Genomic DNA, 18863 nt, shown 5'->3' on the forward strand with positions numbered 1-18863 from the left:
AACTTTTGGTTTACATAGCTCTTCTCCTTTTTAAAATTTCTAGAAAATTTGTATATTCATTGTGTCACAGTGATACAGGTTCTTGAACTATTATCTAATTTGTATGAATGTTTCTTTGCTTCATCCTTATTTAGGCTCCAAATTTCTAGAGTTACAACATATAATACCTCCCTGGTAAACATCCCAGCAGCTACAGTTTAATACATTATAGGCATCTAATAAATGAATGATAAATAAAATACTTACAAGTTCATCTGATTCTGCATCCACTAAGATTTCCAACATCATGTTTTCTCCACGACTGCTTTGCTGGAATACTTGAACACCACTTTTCTTCAAAAAAAACTTTAAAAGAATTCAAATAATTTAATTTTAATTCTTTCTCCATAATCACTTCACACTTAATAAAGTGAAAAAATTCTGAACTAAATAGCCACTGACTTTGTGTCTGATGTGTTTCAGAGTAGGAAATCCACAGAAATATAATGCTTTCTGGTCAATTCTGGTTATTTTGTTTTTGTTTATGTCTACACGCCAAGCATCTAAGGATATTATTTTATACCTAGAAAATAAATCAAGGCATTTAATTTAAAATTAATACATTACAAACAATTACAGTTTTTTAACTTTCCCTTGTATATTTCGTAAGAGTCATCCTTGCTTTTAAAGAAGAGAATGACAATTAGTTCCAGACAAAGAAAACACAAGCAGATAACCAGCCTCTCTATTGTTACTGGTCTAGACACAATCATGCCTGTAGATTACTAAGTTGAGATTTTCCCCATTAATCTAAAACAAAACTATATATATAAATTTTAAGATAAAATATGACACATAACACAAATCTCTATATCCTCCATGTTCCAAAACCCAGGATGGAAAATAAACATTTTATAATGCCTGTTTTATCTTTCTCTTTCCTTTAACAAAAGGAAAAGTTGTAACTGAGAGATGTTTACTTTATTTGCAACTCAATTGCCATCTGGGTAGATTATTTGCAGGGAAGGTGAGAGAAGAGAAAAAAAAGGAAGATATTTTCATGAAGAGAAAAAAATGGAGCTCTTTATTTCTTATTTCCTTCTTTCTAGTTGGGTGGCTGGGGGGTATAATCAATATCACAGCGTATCAAATAATGCTGGGAGCAGAAACACTGACAATGGAAACAAAAATTCACATATCCATTCGAGGGAGACAAAATGCAGGGATATACATTAGAGAGAAAAAATTCAAACACTTTTAATAGAAGAAGGAAAGAGAAACAAAGAATCTGACCAAAGTAGAGAATTATAGACACAAGTGTGAAAGATCCTTAGATCCTCTGCAAGTTAGATGTAACTCATTGATTATCAATTGACTATAACTGTCATAAACTATTTGCTAATTCTCCAAACAGATATTCAAAGCTCCCCCTTCACCACTTCTCGCACCCTTGTGTTAGGAGCGCTCTTTTGTTGTTGAAAAATTACCAAGTAACATTACCTTGTACAACATCGTTCTATGGCAGGGAACTTTTCTGGCCATGGAGAAGGATAGATAAACTCTGTGTCTCTATCATACCAGCACATTAGGCACTCACTATGTTGGTTTCTTTTCCTCTCTTCCTTTTTGAGGGAGTGGTTACATGTCTCCATGGCTTCCAATAATCGCTTCTGAATATAAGGATTGAAGAGAAGGGTTACAAGCATAAAAATTCCATAATCTCAACAAACAGAATAAGTCTTTTTCCTCCATATACAGAATAACCATTTGTGCTCTTGAAAAACAAAAAACCAAAATCTTAACTAATGAAACTCTTCCATTTTATTGCATGAAAAATATGCTATTTATTGTTTCAAAGGGCCCTAGAATACTGCTACCACTGCAAAGTTCTCTGAAGCTATTACCCCAACAGTTGCCACTAAAGTGCAAATAAGCAAGGCAGCAGAAAATCAAATTTTAAGTGTGAATCTATTATAATACTATATCATAATTCACAGAGCATTAATCTCTTACTTTACAAATTCTGTAGTAGTATAGTGATGTCCATCTTTCCAAATTAACTTATACATTTAAAGTAATTCCAGTCAGGACATCAATGATTTAAAATATCTTTTTTTTAAAAAAAGAATAAGATACCAGTGTTAATATGGAAGAATAAATGTATGGACAGTAAAAAGTAACCAGGGACTTGTCTTACCAGATTCTATCACTTTTGATAAAGCTACTGTAATCAAAACACTAGTACTGACACTACAAGAGACCCACAGACCAGAAGAACAGAATAGAGTTCAATAATAGACCCAAATCTATGCCAAAACAGTCCTTTAGGTATTTAAATAATGACAATGTCCTAACTAGCTATCCAGCTGAAAAAAAAGCACATACACTTCTGAACTTCCTACCATATATAAAAACAAGTATCACAATAACAAAATAACAAATGTATCAGAAGAAAATCTAGGTGGTATTGATAATTTAGTGTGATAAAGTTTTATTTAAGGAAGACAGAAAAAAAACGAACAGCCTTAAGGGGAAAGACATTTTTTAAGTAAAAGATAATGTATATGACAGAAGATGCCATATACAAATCAAGAGACAGATGTGATACTGGGGAAAACTATTTCTAATATATAAAGTAGCTAAAAATCAAAAGAAAAAAAGAAAGAGAAATGGGGAGAGAATATAAACAAGCAAATTACAAAAGAGAAAATGGAAAAGGTAAACATACATAAAAGTATTTTCAATAAGACATATGGACCAATGGAACAAAATAGAAAGCCCAGAAATAAATCCATAATTTATAGCCATCTGATTTTTGACAAGGTTGCCAAGAACACACAACAGGGCAAGGATTGCCTCTTCAATAAATGGTGTTGGGACAACTGAATATCCATATGCAGAAGAATAAAACTGGACTTTTATCTTACCATAAACAAAATCAACTCAAAATGGATTAAAAACCTAAACATTAAGACCTTAAACTATAAAACTACTAGAATAAAACACAGGACAAAAGCTTCTTGACACTGCTCTTGGCAATAATTTTTTGGATATGACTGCTGACATGGCTGAATTAATAAAGTCATATTTGGGAGAAAGTAGATGGCAAAAAGGCATAAACATTTTTGTTTTTGTTTTGAGACAGGGATTTGCTCTGACACCCATGCTGGAGCGCAGTGAGGCAATCATGGCTCACTGCAGCCTCAACCTCCTGGGCTCAAGTGATCCTCTCACTTCAGTCTCCCAGGTAGCTGGGAATACAGGTATACACCACAACATCCAGTTCATTTTTTTTTTTTTTGGTAGAGGTTGGGTCTTGCTGTGTTGCCCAGGGTGGGCTTGAACTCCTGGGCTCAGGCAATCCTCCCAAAGTGTTGAGATTACAGGTGTGAGCCATAAACATTATTTTTGATGAGAATTTCAGCTGGAGGATGAGCACAACAGTTGTTAAGATATAACAAAATCTTGCAGTCATCATCCAGTCAGCTTCCCTGCAGTAAGCACAAGCTGCTGGTACAAAATGTTTGTGAAACCAATCTGAAAAGATGTCCCTGGTGATCCATGCCTTTTTATTAGCATAATAATGGATTGGTATGAAATTCACTCCTTGAAAACAGTGAGAACGCAAGCTTTTGCTTATAACAGCAAGTTTACACTTATGCATGCCTGCTGCGTAAGTATATCTCAGCACAGTTATTTGGTCTTTGGCATCCTTAATTCTTGGAAGGGCTGTTTCATCAGCTGCAGTCAGTGTCTTTCTGGGGCAATAATGCCCGAACAGTGATGTTTCATCAGCATTACAGACTTGTTCCAACATCACTAGCAAAGACCCTGGCAAACGTGTCATTGAATTTCTCTAGCTTCATGATAAGCAGGTGCTTTATCATCCCAAACATTTAAAAATTCAATGCTGTGACTTTTAAAATTTATTTATTTATTTATTTGATGGAGTATCACTCTGTCACCACACTGGAGTGCAGTGGCACAATCTCGGCTCACTGCAACCTCCACCTCCTGGGTTCAAGCAATTCCCATGCCTCAGCCTCCTGAGTAGCTGGGACTACAGGCATGAACCACCAACCTGGCTAATTTTTGTATTTTTAGTAGGGTCAGGGTTTCACCATGTTGGCCAGGCTGGTCTTGAACTCCTGACCTCAAGTGATCTACCCAACTTGGCCTCCCAAAGTGCTGGGATTACAGGCATGAGCCACTGTGCCCGGCCTACTTTTTTGTTTTTATCATTACTATTTTTTAGCATGGAATGCTTCATGAATTTGTATATCATGCTTGCGCAAGGGCCATGCTAATCTTCTTTGTATCATTCCAGTTTTTTTTTTAAGTATATGTACTGCTGAAGAGAGCACTGTCTTTTTTTAAACTTTTGCAACCAGTCTGTTAAATGTTCACAGTTCTCTTCAATTTCCAGTTCACTGTGATAGATCTGTTTGTTTCATTATCAGCCTGCCATTAAATGGCATGTATTCACAGCAATGCTGACAAATGCAGTACTTCAATACATGATTGATATCTTCATTTGTAGCTTTATGCAGTATTCTCTTTTTCATTAACTTCTGCTCATCACTTCCAGCACAGAATGTCAACAGCTTACCCTTCTGTTTCTTCAGGTCATATATGGACATTCTAATAGCATACTCTTCTAAAAGACAGTTCACACACCGCTGTCTAGTTTCTCCAACAACTTGACTTTCTATGCTACAGGTAAACATAAATGCTTCCTATTTTTCTTGACACCAACACCCATAGGGGTAGCTGCAGTCCTTTTTGACACTGTCAACACTATCTTCACACCAGACTAAAGAATAAGCGAAGTAATACAGTGAGTAATGCACATAGGCCTGGGGCCCATTTGGGGCATTGTGGGGAACCTGCCATTGGCGCATCTGGCCTATACATGTGCCATTTTATTACCCTTTGTGGGGGTGCTTGGGTGGGGGAATCTGGGTGTGTGCAGAAAAGGTATATTGCAGCTGAAAAGGGCTGGGAGGGTCTTCTATCCCTTGCGATGCAAATAAGCTGTGTTGTGCACCTGCATTTTGACTGCAACCCATCCCATGACACCAGGTGCAGATTTTCTATTTGCGGCATCAGATTGATGCTCAAAGTTTCTAATTTTGGAGCATTTCAAATTTCTGATTTTCAGATTAGGGATGCTTAATCTGTACCACAATTTACTTATCTATTGTCCTGCTGACTGGTATTGGGCGGTTTCCAGTTTAGTTATTATGAATAGTCTTGTACAAAACATTTTTTAAACATACTTTCCCCTCCTCTTGGTAAATATCTAAGAATGGAATTGCTGGGTCCTAGGGTTAGGTGTATAATTTACTTTATAAGAAACTGCCAGATAGATATGAAAAGTGCTTTTATCCATCTTATACTCCCATTAGCAGTGTATAAAAATTCCAATTGCTCCACATTCTTGCCAATATTGGGTATTGCCTTTTAAGTTTTTTCCATTCAACTGGGATTATGGTATAGTGGTATCTTATCATGCTTTTAATTTACATTTACCTGATGCCTAATGATGTTGAGCACTTTTCCATTGTTTATTATTTGTATATCTTGCCTTGTGAAAATGGCCCTTCAAAAATATTTTGCCATTTAAAAAATTGGGTTGTGTCTTTAACTTGAGTTGGAGGAGCTGGTTATATACTCTGGATACCAGTCTCATGCATGTGTATGTTCTGCATATATTTTTTTTCTCCTACACTGTGGCTTATCTACTCTTTTTTAAATAGCATCTTTTGATAAATGGAAATTTTTTTGATTTTGGTGAAATCTATTTTCTCAATTCTTTCCCTTTATGGTTAGTGATTTCAGAATCTTGAAATTTTCTCCTAAGTTTGCTTCAAGAAGTTTTATGGTTTTAGCTTTTATTAATACATTTAGATCTATGACATATTTTGAATTAAGTTTTGTGTATGGTGTGAGGTATGGGTCAAGATTCACTTTTATTCACAAATATAGCCAGTTGTTCTAGCACCAACTTTTGAAAAGCACTTTCTTTACTCACTGAATGCTTTGGTGCCTTAATTGAAGATGAATTAACTGCATAAACATACATTTGGGTGGACTATTTCTGTTCCAATTTATCTATTTGCTTATGGCTATACCAATAACAGACTGTCTTGATTAATGTGGCTTCATGGTTAGTCTGGAAATCAGGTCATGTAAGTCCTCCAACACTGTTCTTTATATGGATTGTTTTGGTTTTCTCCTTTGCAATCTTATAAAAACTTTAGAATCATATTTTCAATTATATAAAAACCTGCTAGGATTTTCACTGGGATTGAATTTAAAGATCAAATTGAGGAGGACGTACACCTTAACAATATTAAGTCTTCATATCCATGAACATGATATAATCCCTTCATTTACTTAGGTTTTCCATCTCTTTCAAGGTAGAGGGCTTCCACATATGTTGTTAAGTTTATAGCTGTGTATTTTATATTTTTAAATGCTATTTTAAGCAGAATCTTTAAGCTTCTTATTTTAAAAGTTTTGTATTTTCAAATGGTTTGTTGCTAGTATATGGAAATACAATTAGTTTTTGTACAGATCTTATACTCTGTAACCTTGCTAAAGTTACTTATCAGTTAAAGTTTCTCTTTTGAAGATTTCTTAGAATTTTTACATAGATAATAATGCCACTTGCCACTAAAAACAATTTTACTTATTTTCTTCATCTTAACACACTGGACCTCCAGTAAAACGTTAGAAAGAAGTGGTTAGAATGGACATCTTGTCCTATTCTTGACTTTACAGGAAATTGGTCCTTCTTTTACTATTAAGTATGTTGTTTGCAGTAAGATTTTTTATATGCCTTTATCATAAGGTTGAGGATGTTTCCTGTTATCCTTGTTTGTTGAACATTTCTATTAAAACTGGATGTTTGTGAAAAAAATATTCTTGGTCAGATAGTGGAAGGTGGAAAAAAAACTGGATGTTGAATATTGATAATGTGGTAAATTACATTGCAAACTAACTTTGTATTTCTAAAATAAATCCCATTTGGTCATGAGTATTATCCTTCTTATACGCTGTCAGATTCTATCTCATGTTTTTTTTTTTTTTTTTTTTTTTTTGAGATGGAGTCTGGCTCTGTTGCCAGGCTGGAGTGCAGTGGCTGGATCTCTGCTCACTGCAACCTCTGCCTCTGAGGGTTCAAGCGATTCTCCTGCCTCAGCCTCCTGAGAAGCTGGGACTACAGGTGCCCACCACCACGCCCTGCTAATTTTTGGTATTTTTAGTGGAGACGAGATTTAATCTTGTTAGCCAGGACAGTCTTGATCTCCTGACCTCATGATCTACCCACCTCAGCCTCCCAAAGTGCTGGGATTACAGGCATGAGCCACCGTGCCCGGCCTCATGTTATTTCCTTAGGAGTTTTTGCATCTACTTTTAGGAGGAGTATCAGTCAGTAATTTTCATTTCTTTTAATGCCATGTCAAATTTGGGTCTCTGGAATATGCTAGTCTAATAAAATGTTGGGAAGCAATTTCCTTTCTTCTGTTTTCTGAAAGTTTGTGTAAGATTGGCATTATTTCTTAAATGTTTGCTAGAATTCACAAGTGAAGACATCTGGGCCTAGAATACACAAAAGACTATTCAGATTTTTATATTTTTTTCTGTGAGTTTTGATAAGTTGTGATGAAATATGTTCACTTCATCTAGGTTGTTGAATTTGTTGACATAAAGTTTGACCATAACATTCCTTAACTAACCTTTTACTATATGAAGGAACTATAAGATAGCTCCTCTTCATTCCCAATATTGGTAATTTATTTCTGCCTTCCCCCCTTTTATTTAACTTTCTTGATTAGTCTAGGTAGGATTTACTGACTTTATTAATCTTTTCAAAGAACCAACTTTTGATGTCATTAATTATTCTCCATTGTTTGTTCATTTTCTGTAGATTTCTGCTTCTTTTTATTTCCTTCATTCTGCTTGAGTTTAATTTGCTCTTCTTTTTCTATCTTCTTAAGTTAGAAGCTTAGGTAATTTATTTTAAACCTTTTTCTTGTTTAGCGTCTAGAACCTTAAATTTCCTTTTAAGCCCTGCTTTAGTCGTATCATACTGACCATGGATCCCTTTTTTTTCTTTCCTGAGGGAAAAAAAGCAATCCTACCGTCTTGGCCTCCCAAAGTGTTGGGATTACAGCATGTGTGCCACCATGCTCAGCTCCCATTATGATGTATTGTATTTTAATTATCGTTCAGATCAAAATATTTTCTAATTTTTCTTTTAATTTCTTCTTTCATCATAGGCTATTTAGAAGTGTGCTATTTAGTTTCAAAATGTATGGGGATCCCCCAGATCTTTGTTACTATTTCTAATTTAATTCTATGAGTAGGTTTATAGCATTACTCAAATCTTCTTTATACTTACTGAAAATTTTTTTTTTTTTTTTTTTGAGATGGAGTCTCGCTGTCTCCCAGGCTGGAGTGCAGTGGCGCGATCTCGGTTCACTGTAGGCTCCGCCCCCGGGGGTTCACGCCATTCTCCTGCCTCAGCCTCTCGAGTAGCTGGGACTACAGGCGCCCGCCACCTTGCCCGGCTAATTTTTTGTATTTTTTTAGTAGAGACGGGGTTTCACTGTGTTAGCCAGGATGGTCTCGATCTCCTGACCTTGTGATCTGCCCGCCTCAGCCTCCCAAAGTGCTGGGATTACAGGCGTGAGCCACCGCGCCCGGCCATCCTTACTGAATTTTTGTCCTCTTGTGTTATTAATTCTTCAGAGAAAAGTGTTGAAATTTCTAGCTATAATTCTGGTAATTTTTGCTTCATGTATTTTAGGTTCTGTTATTAGATACAACATATTTAGGATTTTTATGTCTTCTTGAACTGAACTGACTCTTTTATCTGTATAAAATATCTCTTTATCTCCGGTAATATTACTCCTTGTTCTGAGGACTACTTTGTCTAATAATAGTAAAGCCACTTCAGCCTTATTATAATTGGCATACCTGGAAGTTTTTATGCACATAATGAAGAGGGTAGCTAAATCTCATTAACAAAACATAAATGGTGATTAAAACCCATTGCTCATTAACCTATGTGAAATAGTCTCTGATTAAGAATGTATGTGTATGTAATGATTATTTCATGCACTGACCTCATCAATAAAAGGGATTAACACCACAGCTTCCCATTCCTGTTGTTTCCCATTTAGGTCAGTTTTAAAATCAGGTGGGTAATATTCTATAATTGGTGAGTCTTCATTGGTCATCAAATGCTGTGAAAATATGAAATAGTATAATAGAAATATAAGAACTAATATCAATATAGTTTTTTGTTAATGTATTTATAATATTTCCTCATGTTAGTTTAAAATTTCTAAGCAAAGCAAACTAAATTTTTGTACCTTTGATATGTCACAATATACTTGCTATATTTTGATTTTCAACTATAAGAATTCTGATTTCACTACTACTCATCATTTATACATTTTACTGACTTAGTTATGCAGCAAAGTCATCCTTACTCTCAACATTCATTTTAAATTATTTTTTCTTGTTTTTTCACTCTACAAGACACACAGCTAAATTGTTTTTCTATTCAGACTTCATTTCAGTTCATCTAAAAGGCATCTAGTAGTTCTCTATTTTTAGCCTCAAATTGACAATTTACTTTCATGTCCTGAAGAACTGATTCTATTAAGTAATGTAACATCCAAGATAGTTTAAAATAAAAATATCCTAAAATCCAAGAATCACTGCACCACTAATATCAAAGAGAAATAGTCCAATAACACATTTCTATGACTTTATAACGGAGGTAGACAAAGAAAGCATAAGGAAATAAGGCAGTATACTCTCAGGGTAATATTCAAAATATTTAAAATAACCAGTATGGCATGGGCACTGTACGATAAAACAGACCGTAAAACGCATGGTCATGCTGGTTCAGAGTGGTTGGGTATTAAAGCGTATTGTATCCAAAGGCAGGGAAAAAACAATCAAAGAAACTTACGAAGAAAGGGAAGCCAGGATCAACAACAGTTTAAGGTTCAGAAAGATGCAGAAGGGAGTCTGACACTGCTAAAGAAGTAAAGGGGGTGTGTGTGTCTACTCCAATTCCTGACCAAACCACAGAATTAAAAGAACAGATTGTTACCCTCAAAGAACGATACAAAGTATAACTTCAGAATCACCTTAGTAGGCTTAGCGTAATTTTGGTAACCTTATCAACTCCTGAAATATTTTCCTCCTGTTACATGAAATATGTTAACCAAAGAAAGCTTTTTATTTCACAAATTGATAAATAAAATGTTTAAAAACAAACATATACTGAGGTAGTACTGCTGTTGGGATAAATGACTTATTAGAACCATCCCTATACCAAAATGTAGACAGTAAAGGGAAGAGAAATGAATCTATAAATGTTTAGATAAAGTAGATAGCTTCAGATTTTGTCGGTTTTAGCCTACTTTCTTCAGTGTAGAGACAAATTGAAAATCTGTTTAAAGGTGCTGAAAATGAAGCCAGGCTCTGAATGATTTACGGAGTTTCTTTGCATCTTTAAAACAAAGCTAACTTGAAATCAAAGAATTACTTTTCAAGGGACTTGTTAAAAAAATACTATGGTTTAAAACTGAAAATAACTACTTAGCTACCAAATAAATTTGAGTATTATTGTTTCTAGGTTTGGAGGAAGAGCTTCTAAATATCAAAAAGGACATAAAAACATTCAATTCTAAGACCCACCTGGTAGCATGCAGGAAGTAAATTTTTGCTGGCTGCTGGAAGTACAGCAAGAAGCTGTTCAAATGGCTTAAAAGGTTTTCCTAGTTCAAAATGGATTTTGAGTGTACTGATGTTGTGTATATCAGACAGGAAAGGTGCATAATGATAAGGATAATACCTATAAAACAAAACTGAGTTTTAAACAAGTGGCATCTTTATGAATTAGGTTAATAATAAACATATACTTTTCCCCATATTTTAACAACATATAAAAATAATTTTAAAAAATTAGTACTGCCCATAATTCTACTATCTGAATATAAGAAATTAGCAGTGTTGGAAAATTTAGGTCATCCGATGGCAACAAATGTTACATTTCCTGAATTTTTTTTTTTTTTTTGAGACAGAGTCTCGCTCTGTTGCCCAGGCTGGAGTGCAGTGGCGCGATCCTGGCTCACTGCAAGCTCCACCTCCCGGGCTCAGGCCATTCTGCTGCCTCAGCCTCCCAAATAGCTGGGACTACAGGCGCCTGCCACTATGCCAGGCTAATTTTTTGTATTTTTAGTAGAGACGGGGTTTCACCTTGTTAGCCAGGATGGTCTCAATCTCCTGATCTCGTGATCCGCCCGCCTCGGCCTCCCAAAGTGCTGGGATTACAGGCGTAAGCCACTGCGCCTGGCCTATTTCCTGAATTTTTAAAGTGTGGTTTCACATTTCTGAAATTGGGATGAATCAGGTAATTGAAAAACACGTATAATGTAATGCTTTTTTTAATTCTCAAAATGTTGATAGTGAATCTTCCAATCAATAGATTGAACCAGAAATAATGAGGTAGTCAGAAGACTTTCAGTTTGGTCACTTGAGCCTGGATCATTTAAGCAAGAGACTAAAAACAGTTGAACGTTCTGGTAAAAGCTCACAAGGAGAGGAAGAAAAGTGAGTCTGAGGTTATCTGGCCATTACCAGTCAGATCTAAGAACTTTTATCTTTGAATTAGCATGCTTATTATTGTATTTGTGATAAGGATGAAACCATGTATCGATCACATACACTAATTGTTTTTGTTTTTATTACCTTCTCATCTTAATTACAGGTATAAATATTTTATAAAGCTTTGAACAAACAATTTTTAAAAATTTCAATATGCTTCTAATGTTTGAGTCAGGATACCAAAAACATTGAAATGTTTTTGTATTCCATAATTATGGCGTACATTTCAAAAAAAATGGAGGAGTTTAGGAGGCCAAGTGCCATGTGGAATAGAAAAAGGGTAGACTTTGGAATCAGACAGGCTTTGACTTAATTCTTGGGTGTATAATCTTTAGGAAGATTACCTAACCTTTCTCAACCTTTCAGAGCCTCAATTTCTTCATCTGTAAAAGGGAGAAAACAATGTTTACTTTAAATAGTTGTGAAGATTATGTGAGAGCATGCTTTTTATGTGCTTGGCCTTAATGTAAGTTACAACAGGAATAACTTACATTCACACTATTTTAAAAATGGCAAATCAAGGATTTTCTTCATGAGATTGCTCCTCAGAGAGGCCCTGAGAATCAGGTGATTATAAAACTTTTTTCAAAGGCTTTATGTAGTAAGTGAAACCATAATTAATGTCACATTATTTTGCACTGGTTTGTATTGCTAGATGGAGCTCTGAAACAGAGCCTAGCACAGGTGCTTTGAACAAAACCAAACCAAACAGAGTTGTGTTATCATCTAAAAGTCTCTAGTATTCACTGTATCATTTTTTGGTTTTTAATTTTTCTACTTTGGTGGATGGTTTGAAAATGCAGATGGGATTTGCTAGAATAGGAAACATGAGAAATAAAATGATTACTATTCTCCATAAAAGCAAATAATTGGGAGGCTGAGGTATGATAATTGCTTGAACCCGGGAAGGGGAGGTTGCAGCAGTGAGCCAAGACTGCACCACTGCACCCTAGCCTTGCTGACAGAACGAGACTCTGTCTCAAAAAAAAAAAGAACTCCTTTCTCTTTTCTTCTTCACCTTTCTAGCCCTTCCTAGAAGTAAGCCCATTTTTCAATGATTATTCTGTTTATTTATTTATTTATTTATTTGAGAGACAGAGTCTTGTTCTGCTGCCCAAGCTGGAGTGCAGTGGTGCGATCTCAGCTCAGCTCAATTGCAGCCTCTGCCTCCAAAGTTCAAGCGATTCTCCAGCCTCAGCCTCCCAAGTAGCTGGGACTACAGAGGCACACCACCATGCCCAGCTAATTTTTGTATTTTTAGTAGAGATGGGGTTTCACCATGTTGGCCAGGCTAGTCTCAAAACTCTTGACCTCAAGTGATCTGCCCACCTTGGCCTCCCAAAGCGATGGGATTAGAGGCATGAGCCACTGTGCCCGAACACTTCAATAATTATTCTTGATAGAGAATTTTTTAGCAAACACAAAAAATGTAAAGAGAATATAATGAACACCCTCACATAACCATCACTCAAACCCAGTAATTATCAAGACTTTGCCAAACTTGACTAACTTTGATAGAGAACATTAAATCTTTACATTAACTAAGACCTCTTATTATGAGCCTTCTGTTAGGGCTGGAGAAAATATTACCTATGTTTCATTTAAACCTGGTTGTATGGAACTTTTAAAAAATTACCATAAGTAGAGGCCGGGTGCAGTGACTCATGCCTGTAATCCTAGCACTTTGGGAGGTCAAGGTGGGCGGATCACCTGAGGTCAGGAGTTCGAGACTAGCCTGGCCAACATGGCGAAACACCATCTCTACTAAAAATATAAAAATTAGCTGGCCGTGGTGGCGCATGCCTGTAATCCCAGCTACTCAGGGGGTTGAGGCAGAATTGCTTGAACCCAGGAGGCGGAGATTGCAATGAGCCGAGATCATGCCACTGCACTCCAGCCTGGGCAACAGAGTGAAAAAAAAAAAAAAAAAAAAATTACCATAAGTAGAAATAAAAGGAAGTGCTTCCTAAATAAGACTCTAGTAGAATGAATCATTATAAAAAGACAAAACTTTATTTTTGTTTTTATTCTCTCACCAGCTCCAGGACTGAACTCCATGATAGTAATAGTGCAAAATCCACTGTATTGCCTGAACATAACATGCAGCTTGATCAGCCAGAAAGTCACTGAAAATAGAATATTTTCATTATAACATATTTTCTGAAGACAGGCCCGTGTCTTTAGAGCACGGTATCTGCTGATACAACATTTTACCTCAGATGATTTATTTAATCAATGAATTAGCTATTTATGGCTAAAAATTATAATCCTAAAAACTCCAAAATATTTTTAAAAATTACATCCTGTCACATGACAGTTTTCCTAAACCAACTATCAAAATAGATAAGTCTGTTATTCATATTTACTCAGTTAATGTACCACTCCCTTGGTCCAAAGGTTGAAGATTTACCCAATGAAGCTTTCCATAGTGACACTACCACTCTCTTAAATAGTGGGGGTGAGACGGGAGAAAGGGATGGGAATCTTCTTTACATGGGATGATATCTGAGAGAAGCAAAGCAGCAAATCAGGAAGATCTTAAAATTTGGTCACAGAAGCTAGAATGCTTTCAGAAGTGCTGTATGTGAACAATATTCCTTCTAATCCTTTCTTTGTCAAAAACCAAATGCCATCTTCTAAGTTTGGGTAAAATAAGTCTTCAAATCATCAAAACAAAACAAAACAGAGCCCTGGGCTAAAGGCAAAAATATTCACTTAGAAATTACATAACTACATATTTCTGGGAGGTAGTTTTTTAATATGAAAAATATTGCTTTTTTATTATAAAAGAACTATTTCCTCAGGAGTGAAAATCTGGACAATGAAGAACAGCATTTTTATCATCTTATAGCCATCACTTTTACATTTTTAGTGTTTCAGTCTTTTATCTATATCTAGGTTTTTTTAAGGTTAATGAGAGCATACTGTATGTATGATTTCATGTCTTGCCTTTACAATTTGTACTTAATAATGTACTATAAGCATCCTTCCAAATTGTTATGAACTTTCTGCAAGTACCAGTTTAGCAGTTCTGCAGATTCCGGAGATGGAAGAGGTGACAGAGATGGTGACTGTAATGAAGAAGCAGTGGCCAATTATGATGAACCTTCTTATTGGACATTTAGATTATTTCTAATTTTTTTACTATTATAAACAACTTTGTAACAAAAATCCTTATACATAAGGATCATTTTCTCTTCAGCAATTTTTATCACAGGAATATAATACAAGTCAGAATTAATACCATCTTCTCCAAAACCAGACTAGTTGAAACATACACAATAATTCATGAAACCAAAAAATCCTTTTTCTCCCACTACTTCATCAAAATCATATTTTCTGAATAACTGCAAAATCTAATTTTTTCTATTTTAAAATAAAAGCATTGGCAAAAACGTACTCAGATACTACGTCAACCCCCATCTTCGTCATGTAATATGTTCTTTTATATTGTCTAAACTCAGTTTCAAATAGGTCATCATCTTCAGTCTCATCTTCTAAATTATCTGGGGAAAAAAGTCAGAAAGATAGTGACTGACAATTATGAATAGCCTGTTTTTCCACCTAATGATTTGATAAATGCATATCCAAGTTGATGCTTATATGCTATCACAGAAATCTGTTCCACCCAAAATTAGTAATAATAAATAAAAGGTATAACAATTATCCTGTCAAAGTAGTAACATATCAAAACACATACTTCATACTTACCCTTAGAAGTTATCATTTCGCCTTCATTTTTGTCTAAAGCAGTCCAACACAGAGAATTTTCCTGGCCCTGTAAATTGTAAATCAACATAAAATGAATGGCAAGATACATTTCAAAATGAGATGTCATTTCTCTTCCATGCACCCATTTGCTTTTCTATAGTTCTTCCATGTTATAACATCCTTCATATCCTGCCCATCTGTTTTTCCTCCCTTGTGATCTCAATCCTTTCTCTCCTCTATTCTCTGATTTCCTGTCTACTGCCAATGACTCTCTTTAGTTCTTCCTACTCCCTTATCCCCATTTCCTTTCTTTCATCCAACTTATGGCCTCTACCAACTTCCTGTGTCTGGGCTATTCCTGCACAGTGTCTCTAAAGTTAGCTGCATATGGCTGGAAGACTGGTGAAGTTTAAGTACTGAATTGTGGTGGGGGAGCCAGGGATTACTGACAGGTAAGTTTTGTGTGTACAGGTTCCCAAAAAGTTGCAGAGCCCGTTTTCTTAGGGGGGGAAAAAAAAAGACACACACACACACACAAAAACCAGTGGAATGCAGACTGACTGCTGCCAAGTTCCAGTGAGGAAGAGCTAAGCAGCGAGAAGGACTACACTAGAGAAAACAAGGACAGTTGCCCCTCCTGGAGCAAGAGTCATTAAGTTTGAACCTAAATAGAACCAGTACAGCAAGGAGAGTAAGAAGCTCAACAGAATCTTGGCCGGGCACGGTGGCTCACGCCTGTAATCCCAGGACTTAAGGGAGGCCAAGGTGGGCAGATCACGAGGTCAGGAGTTCGAGACCAGCATTACCAACATAGTGAAACCCCGTCTCTACTAAAAATACAAAAATTAGCTGGGTGGTGGCGCGCACCTCTAATCCCAGGTACTCAGGAGGCTGAGGCAGGGGAATTCAAGCGAACCCAGGAGGTAGAGGTTGCAGTGAGCCAAGATCGCGCCACTGCACTCCAGCCTGAGTGACAGAGTGACATGCTGTCTCCAAAAAAAAAAAAAAGAAACTCAGCAGAATCCAATAATTACAGAGAGGCTGAAGAATTTTTCACAAGAGGTTTACTTTTCAAGTTAACACAAGACATTCTTTGGAGATTATCAGAGATGCTCTGCAGGGTACTATCATATTCTAATTGATTCTATTATTCATTTATTAAGCACATAACATTTACTAGATATTGTGCTATTAGGCTGGCACAAAAGTAATTGTGGTTTTTGCCATTACTATTAACTTAGACTATTGTATTTTATATGTAAATCATTTCTAGAGAAAAATCACTGATCTAGTTAATGTCTCATATCATTAAACACTATAAATATCCACATTTTAAAAACTAGTCCATTGTTTTAAAATAACAATTTTTTTTTAATTAAAAAAAAATTGCCAGGGGAAAGTGTGAATGCAGTCCTCCACTACCATAAGTCACGCAGTTCAGTTTCCCACATTTGGCGAAATCGCAGGGCATCAGCACATCCAGAGTGCAATGGATAAACCTCGCCCTGGGAAAACTACCTTCATGATCATGGTATCCTCCCTGTCAGGTTTTAAATAATTGTTTTTCTTTTTTATGAGACAGAGTCTCACTCTATCAGCCAGGCTGGAGTGCAGTGGCTCAGTCTTGGCTCACTGCAACCTCTGTCTCCCAGGTTCAAGTGATTCTCGTGCCTCAGCCTCCCAAGTAGCTGGGATTACAGGTGTGTGCCACCACATCCAACTAATTTCTGTTTTTTTAGTAGAGATGGGGTTTCGCCACGTTGGCCAGGCTGGTCTCAAACTCCTGACCTCAGGTAATCCACCCATTTTGCCTCCCAAAGTGCTGGGATTACAGGTGTGAGCCACTGCACCTGGCCTTAAATAATTGTTTTTAATAACATGTTTTAAGTAATTTTTTTAAAAAGCCCAGAAAATAATTCATTTTCTGGGCTTTTATGTTTAGAAATGTTTTCCACATTTATTAACATAAAACACAATGTACCTCTTCAACAGTAAAAATAAGGAACTGATTATTGAAGATCTCATTAAATGACAGAAGCTAATAGAAAAAAAGAAACCAAATCAATTTCTGAAATGCCTATAGAGAGGAAGAGAAATAAAACGAGGCAATCCCAAATCATAAGAAGGAAAATGAGAAACAAAGAATATAATTTTTGCCTTTACAGTTAAAACAATGAAAGGACACCTAAAAAAATAGACACCTTTAACTTTTTCTTTTCCTTGTAGTTCCTGGCTTCTTCTGCTGCGACACCTGCTGCTTCATTGAGGTACTTGTTACCAACTTTGCTTTCAAACCATTTTAGGTCCACAAAAACTTCACTGAAGTGCTCCCGATCAAACTGTACAGAAATATTTAAATTTATTTTTAAATAATTTAAGTATATCTAGAAGAATACAAATCAAACTTAAAACAGTGACTACTACTGGGGTATAGGAAATTGGAGAATGTTACTCTTTTATATATATGGGAGACCTCATGTGTTACTCTAAAAATACAAATAGAAAGCAAATAAAAATAAAATTAATTTAGGTAAAAGTGTTTATATTGAATAAGCAATTGGAATAGAATTATAAAACCCCTTTCTTCTGGTATTACATAATTGGTGACTGATCATTTACAGCTACTCTGCGACAGGAAACCAAAAATTTCTAGTTACTTACATCTGATAGTTTCACAAGGTATTTCTCAAATCGAGGTAAGTTGAGGTGCCCACTTTCATTAATATAACCTAAAAGAAACAAAAATTTAAATCTGTACTAAAAGCTGACATTTTTTCTAAACAATTCTACAAAACTCTTTCTACAAAATGTTGAATGTTCATGTTCTACAGTACTAATCAAGAAAAAACAGTGTTGGACTATATCCAAACTGGCCCTAGTTTCTGTGAATTTTATGCTACTATAATATGCAACATGTAAGCACCAAAGCCAAATATAAGAAATTCCAGGTTCCACATAATAATCCAACATTTGGTAACAATTAATTAAATTAAATATGGTCTATAATCTATCTAGATCATTTAATATGATATGTTAACTTAAGGACTGATGTTCTGCTACCCTGTGGTCTGTTTTATTTGGCATCACTATGTTTGTCAATTTTCTGTTTTCATTGAAAAATCACTGCTTCATAATAAACACTGTGATGCATATCCATTCGAAAAAAATTGAATTTCTATGCTTAAATATGAAAAAAGTAAAACCAATAAAGTATGCTGGCTTTCTTAAGGAATTAAAGGCAAAGATTAGACCGGGTGTGGTGGCTCATGCCTGTAATCCCAGCACTTTGGGAAGCCAGATCACTTGAGGCCGAAGTTTGAGACCAGCCTGGTCAATATGGTAAAACCCCATCTCCACTAAAAATATAGAACTTAGCTGGGCATGGTGACACATGCCTGTAATCCCAGCTACTCAGGAGGCAGAGGCATGGGCATAGCTTGAATCCAGAAGGCAAACGTTGCACTGTCGCCACTGCA

The 18863-nt window shown here is 35.8% G+C and overlaps 1 protein-coding gene and 2 pseudogenes across 13 annotated transcripts in view; all 3 read right to left on the bottom strand.

Annotated features, from left to right (window-relative positions):
- XRN1 (5'-3' exoribonuclease 1) overlaps positions 1–18863 on the bottom strand; it is a 141428-nt gene that overhangs the window by 96818 nt on the left and 25747 nt on the right. For 12 of the 13 annotated variants that reach the window (XM_047448357.1, XM_047448356.1, XM_017006640.2 and 9 more), the window contains 10 exons: positions 18049–18116; positions 17589–17726; positions 15388–15454; positions 15077–15182; positions 13713–13802; positions 10708–10864; positions 9117–9236; positions 1480–1649; positions 442–562; positions 247–345 (listed from right to left, as the gene is read on the bottom strand). In XM_047448357.1, the coding sequence (XP_047304313.1) occupies positions 247–345; positions 442–562; positions 1480–1649; positions 9117–9236; positions 10708–10864; positions 13713–13802; positions 15077–15182; positions 15388–15454; positions 17589–17726; positions 18049–18116 (1136 nt within the window). Of the gene's footprint in view, positions 1–246; positions 346–441; positions 563–1479; positions 1650–9116; positions 9237–10707; positions 10865–13712; positions 13803–14413; positions 15183–15387; positions 15455–17588; positions 17727–18048; positions 18117–18863 lie in introns of those variants that run through there. The other variant, NM_001282859.2, reaches the window with a different exon arrangement.
- Positions 4230–4310, bottom strand: RNU6-1294P (RNA, U6 small nuclear 1294, pseudogene; annotated as a pseudogene).
- On the bottom strand, positions 16778–16942 carry RNU1-100P (RNA, U1 small nuclear 100, pseudogene; annotated as a pseudogene).

The sequence above is a fragment of the Homo sapiens genome, chromosome 3, assembly GCF_000001405.40.
Source record: "Homo sapiens chromosome 3, GRCh38.p14 Primary Assembly".
Classification (NCBI taxonomy): domain Eukaryota; kingdom Metazoa; phylum Chordata; class Mammalia; order Primates; family Hominidae; genus Homo; species Homo sapiens.